Genomic DNA, 21,092 nt, shown 5'->3' with positions numbered 1-21,092 from the left:
AAGGGGAACATCACACTCTGGGGACTGTTGTGGGGTGGGGGGAGGGGGGAGGGATAGCATTAGGAGATATACCTAATGCTAAGTGACGAGTTAATGGGTGCAGCACAGCAGCATGGCACATGTATACATATGTAACTAACCTGCACATTGTGCACGTGTACCCTAAAACTTCAAGTATAATAATAATAAAAAAAGAAAAAAAAACCATAGAGTAAAATTAAATAAATAAATAAATAAATAAATAAAAAATATTTATCTATCTGTTCTACTATTCCCAATAGACTGTGTTCCCTCTCGACCATGGGCTTGAGATGTTGTTCACACAACAATAAAAATGAAGAGAACCTAAATATTTCTAACCATAGATGATATCACAATGTAGTGGTGAAAGTATGCAAGGACAGTCAACACACACACACACACAAACACACACACACAGAGAATGGAAGAAGTAATCAGGAATCTTTCATTTTGAGGAAGACTTTAAATTGTGGGTCACATTTATGTCAAATCTTAAAGTGGAAGAGAGAGGAGAGAGACTCTAGTCGACATAATGTGTAAAGAGACAAAACAGCATTGAATTTGGGAAAAACACATAGCTTGATTTGGAAAGAACTTGGAATATAGGAATGAACATTTGGGGAAATGAAAGTAGAAAGTTGGCAGCGATGAAGGCAGATGGTGGCAGGTCTTCTGCCATGCTAAGTGGTCTGGGTGATTTAATATAAGCATGGCACTAATCAGATTTTAATTCTGTATTGTGCCTCTGAAACACTACCCTTTGCACAGTGAGAACTAGTAAGATAGTACTTTGCTTTACAAAGGAAATGAATCCATGAACTATAAGCAGTTCATTGTGGCAATGGCCAGCTCCATGACACAAAAGACTTCCCTGATTTCTTCTAAGGCATCACTGGTATCTATCCTGGAATACAGTGGACACTCCATATGTGTAAGTCTTTAATGCATTAATGCATAATGGGTGCTTCTCAGAAAGGAGCACAGCTTATTCATAAACTACATGTGTGTGTTTGTATGCCTGTGTGTTGTTTCAACAGGACAGTATATCCCCCTGTGTGATGAAGATGGTTACTACAAGCCAACACAATGTCATGGCAGTGTTGGACAGTGCTGGTGTGTTGACAGATATGGAAATGAAGTCATGGGATCCAGAATAAATGGTGTTGCAGATTGTGGTAAGGAGAAGGGTTACTTATTTCATAATTTTCTAAGCACAGAATTAAGTGCTTTAGAGCCTCATTCATTTGTTCAAGCATTTAATGAGGACTTACTCTATGCAAAGACTGTAGAATATCTAGGGTGGAGGGAGTGACAAAAAAAACTTACTCCTAGCATGTTAAAAACTTGGATAGATAATAAGTGGTCATTGCATAATTTAGATTTTCTAGAGAGATTAATTAAAAGCTGAGTTCCTTTCCTACTTCAAATTCAGAAAGTTGTTGAGGTACTTCTTTTCCTCTCAGCTAAAGCAGACCTTTCTCATTCATCCTACTGCAAGTCAATAAACTCTATTTATCGTGTCTTCAGATGACACCCTTTTGTCTGTATACCTCTGGAGATGGTAACTTAGGGAATATGTGGGTTCACCAGCCAAAGAAATACAAACCTTTTTAAAGTAAAAGTCCATAAATTACAGCTATATGAGCATGTTTCCTTGTGCTTGAGTGAGGAAAATGTAGTTTGACTGTTTAAAGGGAATTATAGCTAATATTCTAATTCTTTTTTAGGAACATGCATTTTTTATGTATATATTTAAAATAGAATGTAACGCTTAGTTGAGCATAACATACATGCATTTTAAAGTTTCCATTGTGGTACCATTTGTACTTCATAAAACATTTTTCTAGAATGCAAGTGTCAATTTTCTTGGTATTATAGACAGTTTTCATGACAAAAGCCACCTCATTGTAGACACACACACGCGCACACACACACACACACCAGGAATTAATTCTTTGTGTTTCAATTAATATAAATGATCAAAAATGAGAATAAAATACTTTTTAATCTTGCATTTTAGAAAATATTTAGATGTATTCTTCAAGCAAATTTTAGACTAATAAACTAAGACTATTAAAAAAAGATAAACAATAAAAGTAATCTCATTTAAACTTTAAATTCCTGCTCTGAATCCATTTGTTCATAACATTTTTAACAGCTTAGTTTCGGTTTGCTGACCTGGCCAATGCAGTTAGATTTAAGTAGGAAGAAAGAGGATTCAATAGCTGCCTTACATAAATTTTACATATAGGGAACACATCTTTGTAATGTGTGCTGTAAAGTAGTTGCATTATAAATTAATTCTGTTGTCATTGATGACAATGATGGATACATAACTTTTTTATGTTGTAAATAAAAGTTATATGGAGATGAGTTCCTTAAGTGAACAAGAACATTGCTTTTGGAACGTGGACATCTGAGTTTTCTTTACATTTTATAACTAACACAGTAGATGAAGTTGGAGAACTAAATATTTTCTTCAGTTAAGATGGGAATTTTAGTGTGTTGTCTTGTGAGATCAACCAATTTATAAACCTTGAATTACATCAATAGGATTTGTTATAATTAGATACCAAATAATTATAAGAATAAAATATTAGAAAGAGTATAAAATAAATCCACGCTAGCATTTGAGGAGTTGAAAAGTCAATACACAGTGAGTGCTAAGATGTATGTGCATTATTGCCTCCATAAGTGTTAATAGTTATTTTTAAAATATTTTGTAAAATATTAGTTTTCTGTTGCTTTAGTAACAAATTCCCACTCAGTGGCTTAAACAACACACATTTATCCTACATTTCTGTGCCTCAGAAGATCAACACAGGTCTCACTAAGCTCAACATCCAGATGTCAGCAGGATGGTGCTCCTCTCTGGAAGCTTTAGAGGAAAATCTGTTTCCTTGCCCTTTTCACCTCTTAGAGGTAGCTCTCATCCCTTGGTTCATGGACTCTTTCCTCTAAACTTAAGCCGACAACACTGCATCTCTGATCATTCTTCTGTAGTCATAGCTCCTTCCCACTCTATCTGGAAAACATTTTTTTTTTTATTTTAAGAACCTAAGTGACAATTTGGATCCACCTGGGTAATTCAGGATAATCTCTCCAATTCAAATTCCTTTACTTAACCATATTTGCAAAGTCACTTTTTCATGTTAAGGTAACATTATAGATTCTGGAGATTAGGAAATGAATATCTTTGGTAGGGCAATTTTTCTGCCACACTTGTAGAAGAAATTTTGAATTCTTTGCAAAATGCACAGTCTGACATGAATTTCTATAACAACTGGGATGAGATCAATATTACTGGACTGGAAATCTTGCATAACATACCTCAATAATGATTCTGCTTTTAGCACATACATTTTAACAAATGATAGATTTTTAACATGTGATAATTTTCCAGAAAATGGATCTTTCATTATCTTTGATAAATAAGATAGAAAACAAATTACTTTCTAAAAAATATTCTTAATTTTTATAAGGATTTTATCTTGCAGAAATTGACAGTATTCAGTCAAATAAAGGTTATGTTTACTTTCACTTGTTTTAAGCTATAGATTTTGAGATCTCCGGAGATTTTGCTAGTGGCGATTTTCATGAATGGACTGATGATGAGGATGATGAAGACGATATTATGAATGATGAAGATGAAATTGAAGATGATGATGAAGATGAAGGGGATGATGATGATGGTGGTGATGACCATGATGTATACATTTGATTGATGACAGTTGAAATCAATAAATTCTACATTTCTAATATTTACAAAAATGATAGCCTATTTAAAATTATCTTCTTCCCCAATAACAAAATGATTCTAAACCTCACATATATTTTGTATAATTATTTGAAAAATTGCAGCTAAAGTTATAGAACTTTATGTTTAAATAAGAATCATTTGCTTTGAGTTTTTATATTCCTTACACAAAAAGAAAATACATATGCAGTCTAGTCAGACAAAATAAAGTTTTGAAGTGCTACTATAATAAGTTTTTCACGAGAACAAACTTTGTAAATCTTCCATAAGCAAAATGACAGCTAGTGCTTGGGATCGTACATGTTAATTTTCTGAAAGATAATTCTAAGTGAAATTTAAAATAAATAAATTTTTAATGACCTGGGTCTTAAGGATTTAGGAAAAATATGCATGCTTTAATTGCATTTCCAAAGTAGCATCTTGCTAGACCTAGTTGAGTCAGGATAACAGAGAGATACCACATGGCAAGAAAAACAAAGTGACAATTGTAGAGTCCTCAATTGTGTTTACATTAATAGTGGTGTTTTTACCTATGAAATTATTCTGGATCTAATAGGACATTTTACAAAATGGCAAGTATGGAAAACCATGGATTCTGAAAGTTAAAAATTTAGTTGTTCTCCCCAATGTGTATTTTAATTTGGATGGCAGTCTCATGCAGATTTTTTAAAAGATTCTTTAATAACATGATTTGTTTGCCTTTCTAGATTTCTTTATCTTTCTGACCAGCAACTTAGGGAGCAGAATTTAAATTAGGAAGACAAAGGGAAAGATTCATTTAAACCATATTTTTACAAAGTTTGTCATTTGCCCCAAGGTCAAATTTTAAATTCTTAATTTTCATTTTATTTCCCATTTTAGGTAAAAGTTTGCATTTAATCTTAGAATTATGTTATTTTTGTTAGTAGTGTGGAAACTTAGAGAACTTATTGTATGGTGCCTTGCAAAAATAGAGATAGAAAGATTTTAGCATGCATACCAATATAGTATATTACGCAATATATAAGCACACCTAATTAACAGATTAATATCAGTAAAGGTATTGCTGCTGGAATGAAGAAAATGGGATACGTTTGTTTCTTTTTTTCTATTGTTACATAATTGCCATGTGGACTTGTTTATGATTATTGTGTAGAGTAGCATTTAAGATTTAACTGTAGCAAAAATTACTTTAACCGCTGTATTTAAGTTAGCATGTTAATTAATTGTGTAGACATTTTGGCACACCATCACTTTTAACTATATCATACCAATGGTTTTGTGCCCATAATAAAAATGGAAAAACCTGTTGAATGTTACGTATTGGTATCTTTAATTTCAACAGTGGGTAAACTGGTTTCCCAGTATACAATTCATTGAAAGCAAAATTGATTAATTATTTCCATTTAATTTATACACACTCAATACAAAATTTAATGTTGACTTTACGTAATAAAGTATAATGCATTTTCTTTTTTACTGTTTATGTATAGTTTACAAAATAAAGAATCTTGTAACCAAATTGAACTGTTCCTCAATGGTCTTTCCAGAGTACACATAGTAGCATGAAGCCTTCTCAATCGAGTCCTTGATTTTTAAAATGAATGCATCACAAACTAGCTAGGGGAGGTCCCTGAAATTTAGAATTTCAAAATTAGCGCTCTTGGAATCTTGAATATTATTTGTCAATGTACGTTAAAAAAAATTTTGTTGGTGGTGGTTTATTTTGTTTCATTTGTCATAATATTGTAAAATGGATCATATTTTTGTCAAGGCTGTATTTTAAAACCCATTTTTATGGTGTCATACTTAACATATTTGGCTAAATTTCTATAGCAACAGCATTTTGAAGAGTAGTCAGCCTTGTCTATTTAACAAATGTATATAAATATAACTGGTTGGGAAGAGACAAAAACAAATTCTATACAGAGGTTTAGCAAATGAATTTAAAGTAACAAATATAGTAATGTTGAAGTTAGGCTTTTTTTAAAGAAGTGTCTCTGAGACTCCCAAGAAAGCAATTAAATCAATAGCAAATAGAAAATAAAAATAGATTACACTATAAAACTTTATGTAAATTATTTGTATACAATATATATATTTGTGTGTGTGTGTGTGTGTGTATAAAAATTCTACTTGTAATGTATATTAGGTCTTTTCATGATCGTTTAATTCATTTTAAATATTTTGACACAATACAATTATACCTATACATTTATCCCCCAAAATATAAATATTGGACAGCTACTGTAAATCAAACAGTATTCTAGACACTATTCATTAATGAACAAAATAATTATGAAGTGTAAAGACAAGCAATACATTATTCCTAGCCCATAATGCAATATAGTTATAATCTCCATTGGAATAAATCAAAGAAAGATATTTACTAGATTTAATTTGAATAAAAAACGAGGTATGTTGAACCCCCAACGAGAGTCCTTGATAGAAACCCAAAATCTTAATATTTTAATTAAAAAGAATCCAAGTATCTCAACAGTTTGTTCTTTCTTAAATTGAAATCTGATTCATAGGTATAAAGTCATACAATACAGTCTATAATAGTGTCTTATTTTTCTCATCTGTGTTATTTAGAAAGCACACATGCAACTCAAAAACTACAAGACATTCGGAATCACAGCAAATTGAAAATTGAAACATTAGAGAAAATGAGTAGAAGAAATATACAAATAAAATAGCAAGTGTTCCTTTTATGCCAAAATCTAGTATGGAAATTAATGATGCTTTATTTTTGTACATATAGGGGATGGTAATTCTGCCTAATACTATTGGGGAAAAAAACCTAAGTTTAAAATAAACATGAAACATTTTAATATTGATCAAAATGATCAATAATTCAAACTCTGTATTTCTGCCAATCATTTAATAGAAAAAATCTATCAAACCAAAATATCAAAATTATTAGCAAAAATTTTCTAATTAATAAAACAGCTGCTAAGAGTACTTTATTCTCTGTATACATTTTTACAGTATTTTTATTTTACATGAAACTAATGATGTGAAAAGTAAGTCATAAGCATTGATCCTTATAGGCTAGTGACAGTTTATTTAGAGCATATTTACAGAATTGCATGAATAAATACACATTTTGTAACAAACACTTTGATGATTTGTTTTATATAAAATTAATGAAGCATTGGTGTTGGCTATATGCAATAGATTATTAAGGGCTCCATACACAGTCTATTTTTAGAGATTCCTAATAGCTGGGGGGAAGGTGGAGAATGAGCCACACCGAATACAGCCATCATAAGTAATGTGCTTGTTCTGCCTGACACAAGTGTGCACATATGCACACACAAACACATGTGTGCACACACGATTAGTCCAGTGTTTTCTTTAAATTTGAAATATTCAGTACATTGATTCACATTTATTTCTCTTTTGTTCATGATGAATAAAAAGTACTAGACCATATCATACATTGCTCAGGTGAAGTAAGAAAATTTAAAAATCTAGAATATTTAAAGTGGCATGAAGGTATAAATAAATGATCATATGAGCTCCTTGTAGCTTATTCTATTTGACATTATTTTAAACCTAATAGCTGATATTAAGGTTAACATAATGAAAGGTGACATTTTCATTCTTTCTAGTACACATTTTTATAGAAAATGGTATCAACTGTTTAATTCTGTGTTTTAAAAGTACTTCATGAATTATAACTTGGCTTCATGAAACTTTTATTAATGACTAAGTCAATGAACACTTCAAAGAGAACATCTTAAGCTTTCGTTGTATACAATATATATGTCATCCCTCCTGGGGCAAGACAAATCAGAATAGCCCTTTTGAATAGTAATTATTTTCTCTCCTCAATTGTGTATGAATATCTGCTGTCATTGTTCTACTTAATATCTTTACCTAATTTCTGTGTCTCGGTTAAAAGCTCAGCAAGTAAAATTAAGATAAATGAATTTATGGTTCAACATGATTTAAAATGGCAAAGTAAGCCATTGTAGGTGGAAAAATTTTTAAAAATTGCAACAACCAATAAACACCATCACATCCATATTCAACTCTTTCGAAGATATCCTTGGGGAATACAATTTTAATATATTTTAATGATCAAATATCCCATTCATTCTTAAGTATACAAATACATATATTCCTAGGTTTGGAGTCCATATGCCTTATATTTTTCATCTGTCAAATGTAGCTTAACGTATTTATCCTGGAGAATTTATGTGCAGGTTACATGCAACACAAATTTAAAGCAGGAGCACTGTGTTTATCCTGTAGTAAATATCCACTAAATGCTAACTTTTTTTTAGATTTTTAAAATAGGTTAACAACAGCGGTATTACTGAAGTTTTCAAGATGAGCTGTCAGAATTATCTTCTCTTTTTACAGCTTTATTCACATTAATTCAAACAAATGATCCAGTCGATAGTACTCTCATATACTAAATAGACATAATAAATCGTGCTCACATCATACAGTCAGTGTGAGGATGAAATGAGTTAATACATGGTGTCCGGAACATAGTAAATACCAAATAAATGTAATTATTTTTGTTACTTATAGAAGCTTATGAGGCATAGAAAAAGTCATATGAAGAAGTGAAAAAATAAACTTCAAACCTAAGTATCTTAACTAGTTGGCTTCCCTAAGTAATTATTCATTTTAGAATAGGTACATTTCAAGAGAAACATGAACTAGGGTTTATGTCAACTTAATATATGTACCACACATGAAATGTCATATACATTAAATTCATGCAATCGGCTAAGATTTGGTTGTTATTTTTTCTTATATTAGAGATAAAGTATCCTAGAAATCACTAATACTCATCATTCCTGGTTCTTCTCTTCTTTCTGGACACATGTGATATCTTCCTTTTTTCCTCACAGTCAAATTGAGGCCATGTAACTAGTTCTGGCCAACTGACTGTGAGTTGAAGTCACATGTATGGTTCTTGACAGGGCAGGTGTCACAGCCATCAGTTTATAGGCAGTTGGGATGGAACAGTGACAGTGCTGTATCTTTACCCGTGTCTCTCAGTTCCACTGGTTATTTAACCATGTCATGCTACTTCCACATTTAAATTTGCAACAACTGTCCAAAACTAATGTCTTCTTCTTAAACAACATGTAACATGTTTTGAAGCCATCTCAAATTGTTGTAAAGTGAAGTAGAGCATAAACAAGTTAATTCTGCTGTGTAATGAAATGTATTTGTATAGCAGTACAGGAAATGCAACTGCTGGAGTCAAATCTCTGAGCTCAATCTGATAGTGCTTTGCGACATTGGGCAAATAATGAACTTTGCTGTAACTGGTTTTCTTCATTTGTAAAGTAATAGTCGTGTTAGGATTTAATTCATAAGGCTATAATAGTGCTTCAGTGGAAATTCTAGTAATAGACCTAGCTCAAAAAATTTAGCTGCAATAAAAAAATAAAAAGACAGTAAGTATAGTGGTAAAAGCCACGGACAGTACGGTCTACCAGGTCTGAATCCTGGCTCTGGCATTCATGGACTGCATGACTTTAGGCAAGTTACTTGACATCTCCATGGCTTAGTTTTCTCATCAGTGAAATAGGTATGAGATTAATTCTCACCTTAGCACATGTGGCAGAGGATTACAAATTTTAATACTTATGAAAGCACTTAAAACAATGCCTAGCCACGTAGTCAGCACTGAATAATAGTTATTATTAAGAAGAGGGAAATGAAGAAAAGTAAAATCAAGAAACCAGCCACTATTTTAGATCTATCATATTTTTAAGATGGGAATATAGAAATTGTTATTCCCGTTTTCTCTGTTAGGAAATAGCTAGTCCAGAGAAATAAGGTGATCTCTAAAGGTCACCAGCGATATCAATGTAGAAACTAAAGCACAAACTTAAGAAACATCATCAGCTCAATGCAGTCCAATATCAACTTGCTCTTGAGCTCTCATAAATGTTCTCTCTTAAAATGTAATTCCTATTTAAAGGCTAACCTTTTCAAAACATCGATTATCCACAATGTCTTATCCAAAAGAGTGGTTATTTACAGAAAATTCTTAATGTAATTTCACTGTAATTCTTTTTTTTTTTTTTTTTTTTTTTTTTTGAGGCGGAGTTTCAGTCTTGTTGCCCAGGCTGGAGTGCAGTGGTGCCATATCGGCTCACTGCAACCTCCACCTCCCGGGTTCAAGTGATTCTCCTGCTTCAGCCTCCCCAGTAGCTGGGATTACAGGCGCCTGTCACCACTCCTGGCTAATTTTTTGTATGTTTAGTAGAGACGGGGTTTCACCGTGTTGGCCAGGCTGGTCTTGAACTCCTAACCTCAAATGATCCACTGCCTCGGCCTCCCAAAGTGCTGGGATTACAGGCGTGAGCCACCGTGCCTGGCCATAATTATAATTTTTAATGTGTCTTTTTAATTGGTATGTTAAATAGTGCTAAGTTTCAATATTCTTTTTAGCCCCATGGGGGTAAGATGTAGAAGTACTGGAGTGGAAATAAAGACAATAATTACAGACTATAAATCTGTTTTAGAGCTTACCAGAGGTTGCATTAAAGTGTAATTTAGAACTTACTAGATTTAAAAGAAAAAACATAATTTTTTTTAAAAAGCATTCTTGTAATTTAAAAACAATTTATTATTTTGGGGGGATGAAAAAATAGATGTGGAACTATTAGAAGTATGGACAAAACAATTTCACATTCTCAAATAGTTCTAAGGAGTATAAATAAATATGTGACAAATCATGTCACATTTGTAAAAAATTTAAGAACTCTTATTTTATCATATAAGTAAATATTAGTATGACAATAGACCATTATTGGTAAACTACTTCTCAGTTTATTTTAGCCAGGTACAATATTTCTTGCTATGAAATGTAAATATTAAACATTTCTCTCTTTTAGGATAATGTGTTTCCGGTGCTCATCATTTTCACTCCAAACAACCAATACTTTTTCACAACTAATTTGATCATCTGGAGAAATATAGCTAAAAGATAAAGGGAAAATGCCCTTTACTGTAAGACATGTTTGTGGAAAAATTAACCAAAAGAAGCCTCTAATTTGGACCTTACTTTCTTCTTATAAAATTAAACGATAGCAAAATAGATTGTGTATATGTTACGTTTGGCAAAAGAAAAAAAATGAATGATTTTGTACAAGGTTGGTTCAGTTGGTCACGTGAATCTCGGACTATTGAGACTCTTTATTTGATTGATTAATGTGTATTTGGTGTCAACCTCATAATTACAAGAGCAATGGGTGACTATGTCAATCTTAGTTTATTTTCTAAAATTTGAGGTAATTTGAATAAATTTTTGTTTTCATGTGAGTCATCTGGGTATTATTTTTTATTGGGTATACTTAGAAGGATTATTATTTGAAGTAAAACTGCATGCTGACAATTTATAGTGAGGAGAAACAGAAGTCAATTAATAAGTATAAGTAAGTTACATTACATTATATTTTACGTTAATTACCACATACACTTGGCATTTAATACACTTGAAGTGTTCCAGGGCCACAAATGCATTTTTAACTTGAATCACTCCTACTCTAGGCAAGTGAGAATAAACTGCTTTCTTGGTGCTATGCTTTAAACATGGTCTGTTTGGCTCTGTCAAGTCTCATGTTGAAATTTGATCTCCAGTGTTGGTGGTGGGGGATGCTTGGGGGTGTTTGGGTCATGGGGTGGATCCCTCATCAATGACTTGGTGAGATTCTTGTAGGAGCGACAAGAAGTGGTTGTTGAAAAAAGTCTGGCACCTCCTTCCCTCTCTCTTGTTTCTTCCCTGCCGTGTGATTTCTGCCCGCACTTCTTTCCTTCCCTCTCCACCATGAGTAGAAGCAATCTGACTTTCTCACCAGGAGATGCTGGCACCATGTTTCTTGTACAGCCTGCAGAATGTGAGCCAGATAAACCTCTTTCCTTTATAAATTACTCACCCTCACCCTTTATAGCAGCACAAACTGACTAAGACACTTGGCTGGTAAGGAAACCTAGCCGTTCACCCAGCATCCAATTTCAACATGGCTTTACAAGACCTATCTCTTCCTTTTTTGCTAGTGGCAAACTCTTATTTGTGTTTTAATCCCCCGCCGCCCCGCCTTTTTTTTCTTTTTTGAGACCGAGTCTCACTCTGTCGCCAGGCTAGAGTGCAGTGGCTCAATCTCAGCTCACTGCAACTCCACCTCCCCAGGTTCAAGCGAGTCTCCTGCCCCAGCCTCCGGAGTAGCTGGGATTACAGGCACGCGTCACCACGCCCAGCTAATTTTCTTATTTTTAGTAGAGACAGGATTACACCAGTTTCGCCAGGATGATCTCGATCTCCTGACCTCGTGATCTGCCCGCCTTGGCCTCCCAAAGTGCTGAGATTACAGGCGTGAGCCACCGTGTCAGGCCTAATACCTTTTTTTTTTTTTTGGATAGGGGGGAAATTGCAGTATAGTTTGAAGTCGGGCATCATCATGCCTCCAGCTTTGTTCTTTTTGCTTAGGATTGTCGTGGCTGTATGGGCTCCTTTTGGGTTCCATGTGAATTTTAAAGTGGTTTTTCTAATTCTGTAAAGAATGTCAATGGTAATTTAATGGCAATAGCATTGAATCTATAAATTACTTTGGATGGTATGGCCATTTTCACAATATTGATTCTTCCTATCTATGAGCATGGACTGTTTTTTCATTTGTTTGTGTTCTCTCTGATTTCTTTGAGCAGTGGTTTGTAGTTCTCTAAAAGGAGAACTTCATTTCCCTTTTTAGCTGTATTTATGGGTACTTTATTCTCTTTGTAGCAATTGTGAATAGGAGTTCATTCATGATTTGGCTCTCTGCTTGTCTATTGTTGGAGTATAGGAATGTTTTTGATTTCTGCACATTGATTTTGTATCCTAAGACTTTGCTGATGTTGCTTATCAATTTAAGGAAATTCTGAACCAACAAACATGAAAAAACAGTTCAACATCACTGATCACTAGAGAAATGCAAATCAAGACCTCAATGAGATTCCATCTCATGCCAGTCAGAATGATGATTATTAAGAAGTTAAGAAACAACAGATGTTGGTGAGGTTGCAGAGAAATAGGAACACTTTTACACTATTGGTGGGAATGTAAGTTAGTTCTACCATTGTGGAAGACAGTGTGGCAATTCCTCAAAGACCTAGAACCAGACATACCATTTGACCCAGCAATCCTATTACTGAGCATATATCCAAAGAAATATAAATTATTCTATTATAAAGACATATGCACATATATGTTCATTGCAGCACTATTCCCAATAATAAAGACATGGAATCAATCAAAACACGCATCAGTGATAGACTAGATAACGAAAATGTGGTAAATATACACCATGGCATACTATGCGGCCATAAAAAGGAATGAGATCATGTCCTTTTCAGGGACAAGGTTAAGGTGCAAAGCAATTATCCTCAGCAAATGAACACAGGAACAAAAAAATCAAACGTCACATGTTCTCACTTTTAAGTGGGAGCCGAACAGTGAGAACACATAGACACAAAGAGGCGAACAACACATACTGTGGCATGTCAGGGAAGGGCAGTGAGAGGGAGAGCATCAGGATAAATAGCTAATGCATGTGGGGCTTCATACCTAGGTGATGGGTTGATAGATGCAGGAAACCACCATGGCACACATTTCCCTGAGTAGCAAACCTGCACGTCCTGCATATGTATCCTGGAAATTAAAATAAAATATTTTTTTTAAAAAGAAAAAGAACTGCAAATCATAGGATATACAGAAAACTTTGACAAATATCTCTGAAGAATGTTCAGTGTGTACCAAACTACTGCCAATAGTTTCTAGTTGTCTTTATAATGATCTCTAATAGGAAGTGACTTTATGACTAGTTTCAGCTGGATATCATATCCTCTAGTGTGATTTTAGGAACAGTTGTGCCAGAATCTGATCCAGAATCTTGCAAGGTGAAAACACAGTTGATATAGCAGCTCAGTTGTATTCTTCCCAGGGTGGCTGCAACCCGAGCCTCTCTAATGCCAGGAAAGATATTGTCATGCCTCACCAAAACAACTGTACTCTGTTCATGTAGTACCTCAGGCAGATTGATTTTAGCCCTGGATTTTGATGGGGCTTCATTCCAAGAGCTGTTCATTTAAAACACGGTCTAGGATATGCTATAAGGAAGATCTGTTAAACATTTATAAATATCACAGTCTATTTCAATCCTTCATGCTCAAGGAAAAAAGTGACAAATAATAAAGCCCAAAATGAAAATTAAATTTATGTAATAGATATTGCATGCTCTTTCTGTAGTACCTAGTTAAACTATAGCATCTCTATTAATCATTTTCAAAGGGCATTCCTAGGGCATTGCTCATGCATGCATTATTATGGATGCGGCTACACCTGGATGTGTAATGCTCCATGCAGTCTTTTGTGTCTCCAATACTGACTTCTGAAAATAAAAATGACACATTAAAGAAGAGAAAACACATCAGTCAATTTTACACTTGTCAGTGCCCAAATGAGAAGAGGATAATATTAATACATATAATTAATCTGGGGAACCTCTATTGGATTTTCATGACCTTTGTAATTTCTATACCCCAATAGCATACATATCGTAGCAAATGGCCATTATAAATGGAACTGTTTGTGAAAAATGCAGGCTATTAACCAAAAGGTCTTCATGGGGAGAGGCATTGCAAGGAATTCAATGAATAGTGATATCCCTTTAAGAGAAAAAGAAAATAGCTGAGTCCCTAGAGCCAGAGGTGAACAACAAATGGCTAGTATAATTGTGGCCTGGGTCCAAAATGTCATGCTCTCTAGACTTAGCAGAAACTCCTGTGCAGTATTCAATGGCTACCAAATTAAATAAACTCAAAGTTCTTTGATTGAATAACTATGTTCGTAGGCCTTTTTTTTTTTCTTTTTCACCTTTAGTCAAAAGTATTGCCCTAGCCACCCTCTAATGGAAGAAGAAAATTGTCTTTCTTTAGCATGGTTCATGTGAAGCACACCGTTTTATCCTGATAGTAGTTATATGGCACTTGACATACGCAGTTCAAATAAAGTTGTGAAAACTTATTTTTAATTGATCCCCTCCTTTATCTTGCCAATTCCATATAGCAGCATGTTGGCTAGTGAATAGTTCATCAGATTTGCCGACCAGGTGAGGCCTTGATTTAAAAGTTTCTATCACTCCAACAATTCATCTGTGTTTCTTTTCATCAAAAAAATAAAAAGGATGACTAAATATCATCTTGTTTCATGGTGGTATACGTTGTTAATGTTTCCACTTGGATATTTACAACTGGCTGCAAAATAATGGATTATGCTATGCCATACTCCCTCAAACTTCTGTTAAACATGTTGATTCATTATTTTCCTTCAAGTTCTAGCTATCTCAGAAATGGCTGAAGGTTGTTACCTCTCATTTATATTTGTTACCTCTCTTTTCTACTTCTGTCTTCTTGCAAAGTGTTAGAAATTATGAGTCAGTTTCCAAAGCACATGTGCGCGCGTGCACACACACACACACACACATGGTTTCCTATGCCCGTATACAATAAAGAGAAAGAAAATACCCAAACATTTATTTTTATATAATCAGAGAACTTACTTTGAAACGTATTGAAGTTTTTATTCTTCCCTCCACAACACATGTAATGAGCAAATATATAGAATATAATTACACTTGGAAAGTTGTTTATCAATTTCAATATGTTCAAAACTAATTATGCTGAAGGTTCTATCAAAGTTGTGCTGGTATTGATGGAGCCTATAATGATGTCTTCCTTGCATGAAAAGGCCATAAACAAATTGCTGTTGCCTTAAAAGTACATTAATTTCTCATTGTAGGAGAAAGTTTCTTTTTGACAGACTGAGCATGAAGTCCAAGCATTACCACCTGCTTAATCATAAAAGCATATGCTGTAATATAATTGAGTTCTAAGTTAACTCCTTCATAAAATTAATGAGGAAATAAGTGATTGGGTGTTAAAGTAAAATACCGAGTGATTATTTTATATTCTTCTTATTTATTTATTTTTTATTTTTTATTTTTTTGAGACAGAGTCCCGCTCTGTCACCCAGGCTGGAGTGCAGTTGGGCAATCTTGGCTCACTGCAAGCTCTGCCTCCTGGGTTCATGCCATTCTCCTACCTCAGCCTCCCGAGTAGCTGGGACTATAGGTGCCCACCACCATGCCTGGCTAATTTTTTTGTATTTTTTAGTAGAGACGGCATTTCACCTTGTTAGCCAGGATGGTCTCGATCTTTTGACCTCGTGATCCACCCGCCTCGGCCTCCCAAAGTGCTGGGATTACAGGCATGAGCCACTGTACCCGGCTGATTATTTTATATTCTTATATAAAGCCTATAATTACCAATAGTAATAGTAATACCAATAGTAAAACTATTAGTAAATAATCCACCAAACCTACATAACAATAGTTCTAGTATAACAATGTGAATTGTCTGACTTCTTTAATTGTTTTATAAAAACACAACTTGAGCAACGTACTGAGACCTTGTTTCTACAAAAAAAAAAAAAATTCTTTTTAATTAGCTGGGCATGATATCATGTTCCTATAGTCCCAACTACTCGGGAGGCTGTGGTGGGAGGATTGCTTGAACTCAGGATTTGGAGGCTGCAGTGAGCTATGATCATGCCACTGCATTCCAGCCTGATATACAGAGTAAGACCCTATTCCTAATAATAATAATAATAATAATTTTATAAAAGCAAGTGTTTAACTGAAGTCCTCAATATACTTAACTACAAAGCAAAAGTGATCTTGATACGTAATTTCATAGAGAAAAGCATTTGGCAAATTTATGAAAAAATAATATTTAATCCATTTTCTTACCAAAAAAAATGGAAGCCCTAGATTTCATGCGCGTCCATGTGAAGAGACCACCAAACGGGCTTTGTGTGAGCAACATGGCTGTTTATTTCATCTGGGTGCAGGCAGGCTGAGTCCGAAAAGAGAGTCAGCAAAGGGAGATAAGGGTGGGGCCATTTTATAGGATTTGGGCAGGTAAAGGAAAATTACAGTCAAAGGGGGTTTGTTCTATGGCGGGCAGGAGTAGGGGTCGCAAGGTGCTCAGTGGGGGTGCTTTTTGAGCCAGGATGAGCCAGGAAAAGGACTTTCACAAGGTAATGTCATCACTTAAGGCAAGGACCGGCCATTTACACTTCTTTTGTGGTGGAATGTCATCAGTTAAGGTGGGGCAGGGCACATTCACTTCTTTTGTGATTCTTCAGTTACTTCAGGCCATCTGGGCTTATATGTGCAAGTCACAGGGGATGCGATGGCCTGGCTTGGGCTCAGATGCCTGACATTCCTGCCTTCTTATATTAATAAGAAAAATAAAACAAAATAGTGCTGAAGTGTTGGGGCGGCGAAAATTTTTGGGGGGTGGTATGGAGAGAGAATGGGCGATGTTTCTCAGGGCTGCTTCAAGCGGGATTAGGGGCGGCGTGGGAACCTAGAGTGGGAGAGATTAAGCTGAAGGGAGGTCTTGTGGTAAGGGGTGATATAGTGGGGACGTTAGAAGAAACATTTGTCGTATAGAATGATTGGTGATGGCCTGGATACGGTTTTGGATGAATTGAGAAACTAAATGGAATAACAGAAGGAGAAAAACAGGTATAAAATGTCTAAGAATTGGGACGACTCAGGACATCTGATTAGAGAGTGCCTAAGGAGATTCAGCATAGTCCTGCCAGCAAAGATTATTTATTTACTTCAAGAGTTAACAGTGGCAGTTTGGGGATAGCACCAGGAGATATCAGCTGTGATGGCTTGGAAAAACAGTGTAAACTGGCAGTGTAAATAAAAGCAGGGCATGTATGAGTAGTTGAGAATGGTGAATAGGAATATGATTAGACAGAAGATAGTAGGGATGACAAGTTTTTTGGGGGCCAGTCTAGGTTGGTCTGGTGTCTGGAATGAGACTGGGGCCCAATAAAAAGGAGCGTCTATACAGGAGCTTAAATGGGCTGTACCCTGTAGCATTCCGAGGACAAGCCTGAATTCTGAGAAGGGAAAGTGGTAAAAGTATTGTCCAGTCCTTTTTAAGTTGGCGGCTGAGCTTGGTGAGGTGTGTTTTTAAAAGACCTTTAGTCCATTCTACTTTTCTTGAAGACGGAGGACCATAAGGTATATAAAGGTTTCACTGAATACTAAGAGCCTGAAAAACTGCTTGGCTGATTTGACTAATAAAGGCTCGTCCGTTATCAGACCGTATAGAGGTGGGAAGGCTAAACTGAGGAATTATGTCTGACAGAAGGGAAGAAATGACTGCAGTGGCCTTCTCAGACCCTGTGGGAAAGGCCTCTACCTATCCAGTGAAAGTATCTACCTAGACTAAGAGGTATTTTAGTTTTCTGACTCAGGGCATGTTGAGTAAAGCTAATTTTCCAGTCCTGGGTGGGGCAAATCCTCGAGCTTGATGTGTAGGGAAGGGAGGGGCCCTGAATAATCCCTGAGGAGTAGTAGAATAGCAGATGGAACTCTGAGAAGTTATTTCCTTGAGGATAGATTTCCACGATGGAAAGGAAATGAGAGGTTCTGAGAGGCGGGCTAGTGGCTTGTACTATAGCATAGCCTGCCTTTGCTGGTGTGTGGCGATTAGGCCTGGTGGAACTGCCATCAATAAATCAAGCGTGATCAGGGTGAGGAACAGGAAAGAAGGAAATATGGGGAAATGGGGTGAATGTCAGGTGGTTCAGAGAGATACAGTCATGGGGGTCAGGTGTGGTATCAGGAATAATGTGGGAGGCCGGATTGAAGTCCGGGCCAGGAACAATGATAATTGTGGGAGACTCAACAAAGAGTGAGTACAGCTGAAGGAGCCGGGAAGCAGAAAGTATATGCATCAGGTATGAGGAAGAAAATAGATTTTGGAAACTGAGAGCTGTAGAGGGTGAGTTGAGCATAGTTTGTGATTTTGAGGGCCTCTAAAACTATTAAAGCAGCGGCAGCCTCTGCACGCAGACATGAGGGCTGGGCTAAAACAGTAAGGTCAAGTTGTTTGGACAGAAAGGCTACAGGGTGTGGTCCTGGCTCTTGTGTAAGAATTCTGACCATGCTAACCATGCCTAGGAAGGAAAGGAGTTGTTGTTTTGTAGAAGGTGTGGGGGTTTGAGAGATCAGTCGTACACGATTGGCAGGGAGAGCACATGTGTTTCTATGACAATTATGCTGAGATAGGTAACAGATGAGGAAGAAATTTGGGCTTGATTGAAGTAATGGGGGCTGTCTGTGAAGCTTTGCGGCAGTATAGCCTAGGTAATTTGCTGAGCTTGATGGGTGTCAGGGTCAGTCCAAGTGAAAGCGAAGAGAGGCTGGGATTAAGGGTGCAAAGGAATAGTAAAGAAAGCATGTTTGAGATCTAGAACAGAATAATGGGTTGTAGAGGCAGGTATTGAGGATAGGAGAGTACATGGGTTTGGCACCACGGGGTGGATAGGCAAAACAATTTGGTTGATAAGGTGCAGATCCTGAACTAACCTGTAAGGCTTGTCTGGTTCTAGGACAGGTAAAATGGGGGAATTGTAAGGAGAGTTTATAGGCTTTAAAAGGCCATGCTGTAGCAGGCGAGTGATAACAGGCTTTAATCTTTTTAAAGCGTGCTGCGGGATGGGATATTGGCGTTGAGTGGGGTAAGGGTGATTAGGTTTTAATGAGATGGTAAGGGGTGCATGATTGGTCACCAAGGAGGGAGTAGAGGTATCTTATACTTGTGGGTTAAGGTGGGGGGGGCATACAACAGGAGGACGCAAAGGTGGCTTTGGATTGGGAAGAAGGGCGGCAATGAGATGTAGCTGTAGTCCAGGAATAGTCAGGGAAGCAGATAATTTAGTTAAAGTGTCTCAGCCTAATAACGGAACTGGGCAGGTGGGGATAACTAAAAAGGAGTGCTTAAAAGAGTATTGTCTAAATTGGCACCAGAGTTGGGGAGTTTTAAGAGGTTTAGAAGCCTGGCCGTCAATACCCACAACAGTTATGGAGGCAAGGGAAACGGGCCCTTGAAAAGAAGGTAATGTGGAGTGGGTAGCCTCCATATTGATTAAGAAGGGGATGGGCTTATCTTCCACTGTGAGAGTTACCCGAAGCTCGGCGTCCGTAATGGTCTAGGGGGCTTCCGAGGCGATCGGGCAGTGTCAGTCTTCAGCCGCTAAGCCGAGAAGATCTGCGAAGGAGTCAGTCAGAGAGCCTTGGGCCAGAGTTCCAGGGGCTGTGGGAGTGGCTGCCAGGTGAGTTGAACAGTCCGATTTTCACTGGGGTCCCACACAGATGGGACGCGGCTTAGGAGGAATCCCAGGCTGTGGGCATTCCTTGGCCCAGTGGCCAGATTTCCAGCATGTGTAGCAAGATCCTGTGGGAGGAGGTTCTGGAGGAACACCTGGCCACTGTGGTTCAGGTGTTTGGAAGTTCTTGTGTGCTGGAGATGTGGCTGGGGTTTGTCTCACAGTGGAGGCAAGGAATTGCAACTTTTTTCTATTATTGTACACCTTGAAGGCGAGGTTAATTAAATCCTGTTGTGGTGTTTGAGGGCCGGAATTTAATTTTTGGAGTTTTATTTAATGTCAGGAGCAGATTGGGTAATAAAATGTATTTTGAGAATAAGACAGCCTTTTGACATTTTAGGGTCTAGGGCTGTAAAGTGTCTCAGGGTTGCTGCCAAACGAGCCATGAACTGGGCTGGATTATTATATTTGATGAAAAAGAGTCTAAACGCTATCTGATTTGGGATAAAGAAAAAGGAGCATTAACCTTGACTATGCCTTTAGCTCCAGCCACCTTTTTAAGAGTAAATTGCTGGGCAGGAGGGGGAGTGCTAGTCACGGAACGAAACTGTAAGCCGGACCAGGTGTGAGGAGCGGAGGTGATAAAAAGATTACAGGGTGGAGGAGCGGAGGCTGAGGAAGAATTGGGACCTAGCTCAGCCTGGCAAGGAGCAGCCTGGGGAGGAAGGAAGAGGTCAGATGGGTCTGTAGAAAAGGAAGATTAGAAAGACTCAGCGACGTTTGGGGTTGGTACTGAGGGGACAGGCGGGAGAGAAAGAAGGAAGATTTGGGACGAATTGCACTGGGCACAGAGACTAGGAAGCGACTGATGTGTAAAAGAATGCCTGGATGTCAGGCAGCTCAGACCGTTTGCCTATTTTACGACAAGAATTATTGAGATCTTGCAGGATGGAAAAATTCAAAGTGCCATTTTCTGGCTATTTGGAACTACTGTCAAGTTTGTATTGGGGTCAAGCGGCATTGCAGAAGAAAATAAGGCATTTAGGTTTTAGGTCAGGTGTGAGTTGAAGAAGTTTTAAGTTTTTGAGAACACAGGCCAAGGGAGTAGAAGGAGGAATG

General features: G+C 36.7%; 1 protein-coding gene across 11 annotated transcripts in view, besides 1 other annotated feature; it reads left to right on the top strand.

Annotated features, from left to right (window-relative positions):
- Window positions 1-5,279, top strand: part of SPOCK3 (SPARC (osteonectin), cwcv and kazal like domains proteoglycan 3) — a 501,562-nt gene extending 496,283 nt beyond the window's left edge. For all 11 annotated transcript variants that reach the window (XM_017008258.2, XM_011532018.2, NM_001251967.2 and 8 more), the window contains 2 exons: window positions 1,059-1,196; window positions 3,573-5,279. In XM_017008258.2, coding sequence (XP_016863747.1) covers window positions 1,059-1,196; window positions 3,573-3,742 — 308 coding nt within the window. In that variant the 3' untranslated portion in view covers window positions 3,743-5,279. The remainder of the gene's footprint in view (window positions 1-1,058; window positions 1,197-3,572) is intronic.
- Window positions 16,314-17,194: an enhancer, noted in NCBI's record as "OCT4-NANOG-H3K27ac hESC enhancer chr4:167642620-167643500 (GRCh37/hg19 assembly coordinates)". NCBI's record gives its function as "activates a minimal SCP1, AML or CMV promoter by ChIP-STARR-seq in naive and primed H9 embryonic stem cells {active_cell/tissue: H9 hESC(naive and primed)}" and the evidence as "EXISTENCE:reporter gene assay evidence [ECO:0000049][PMID:30033119]".

The sequence above is a fragment of the Homo sapiens genome, chromosome 4 (assembly GCF_000001405.40).
Source record: "Homo sapiens chromosome 4, GRCh38.p14 Primary Assembly".
Classification (NCBI taxonomy): Eukaryota; Metazoa; Chordata; class Mammalia; order Primates; family Hominidae; genus Homo; species Homo sapiens.
Note: the sequence above shows the minus strand (reverse complement) of the source record. Positions and strands in the feature narration are given on the sequence as shown.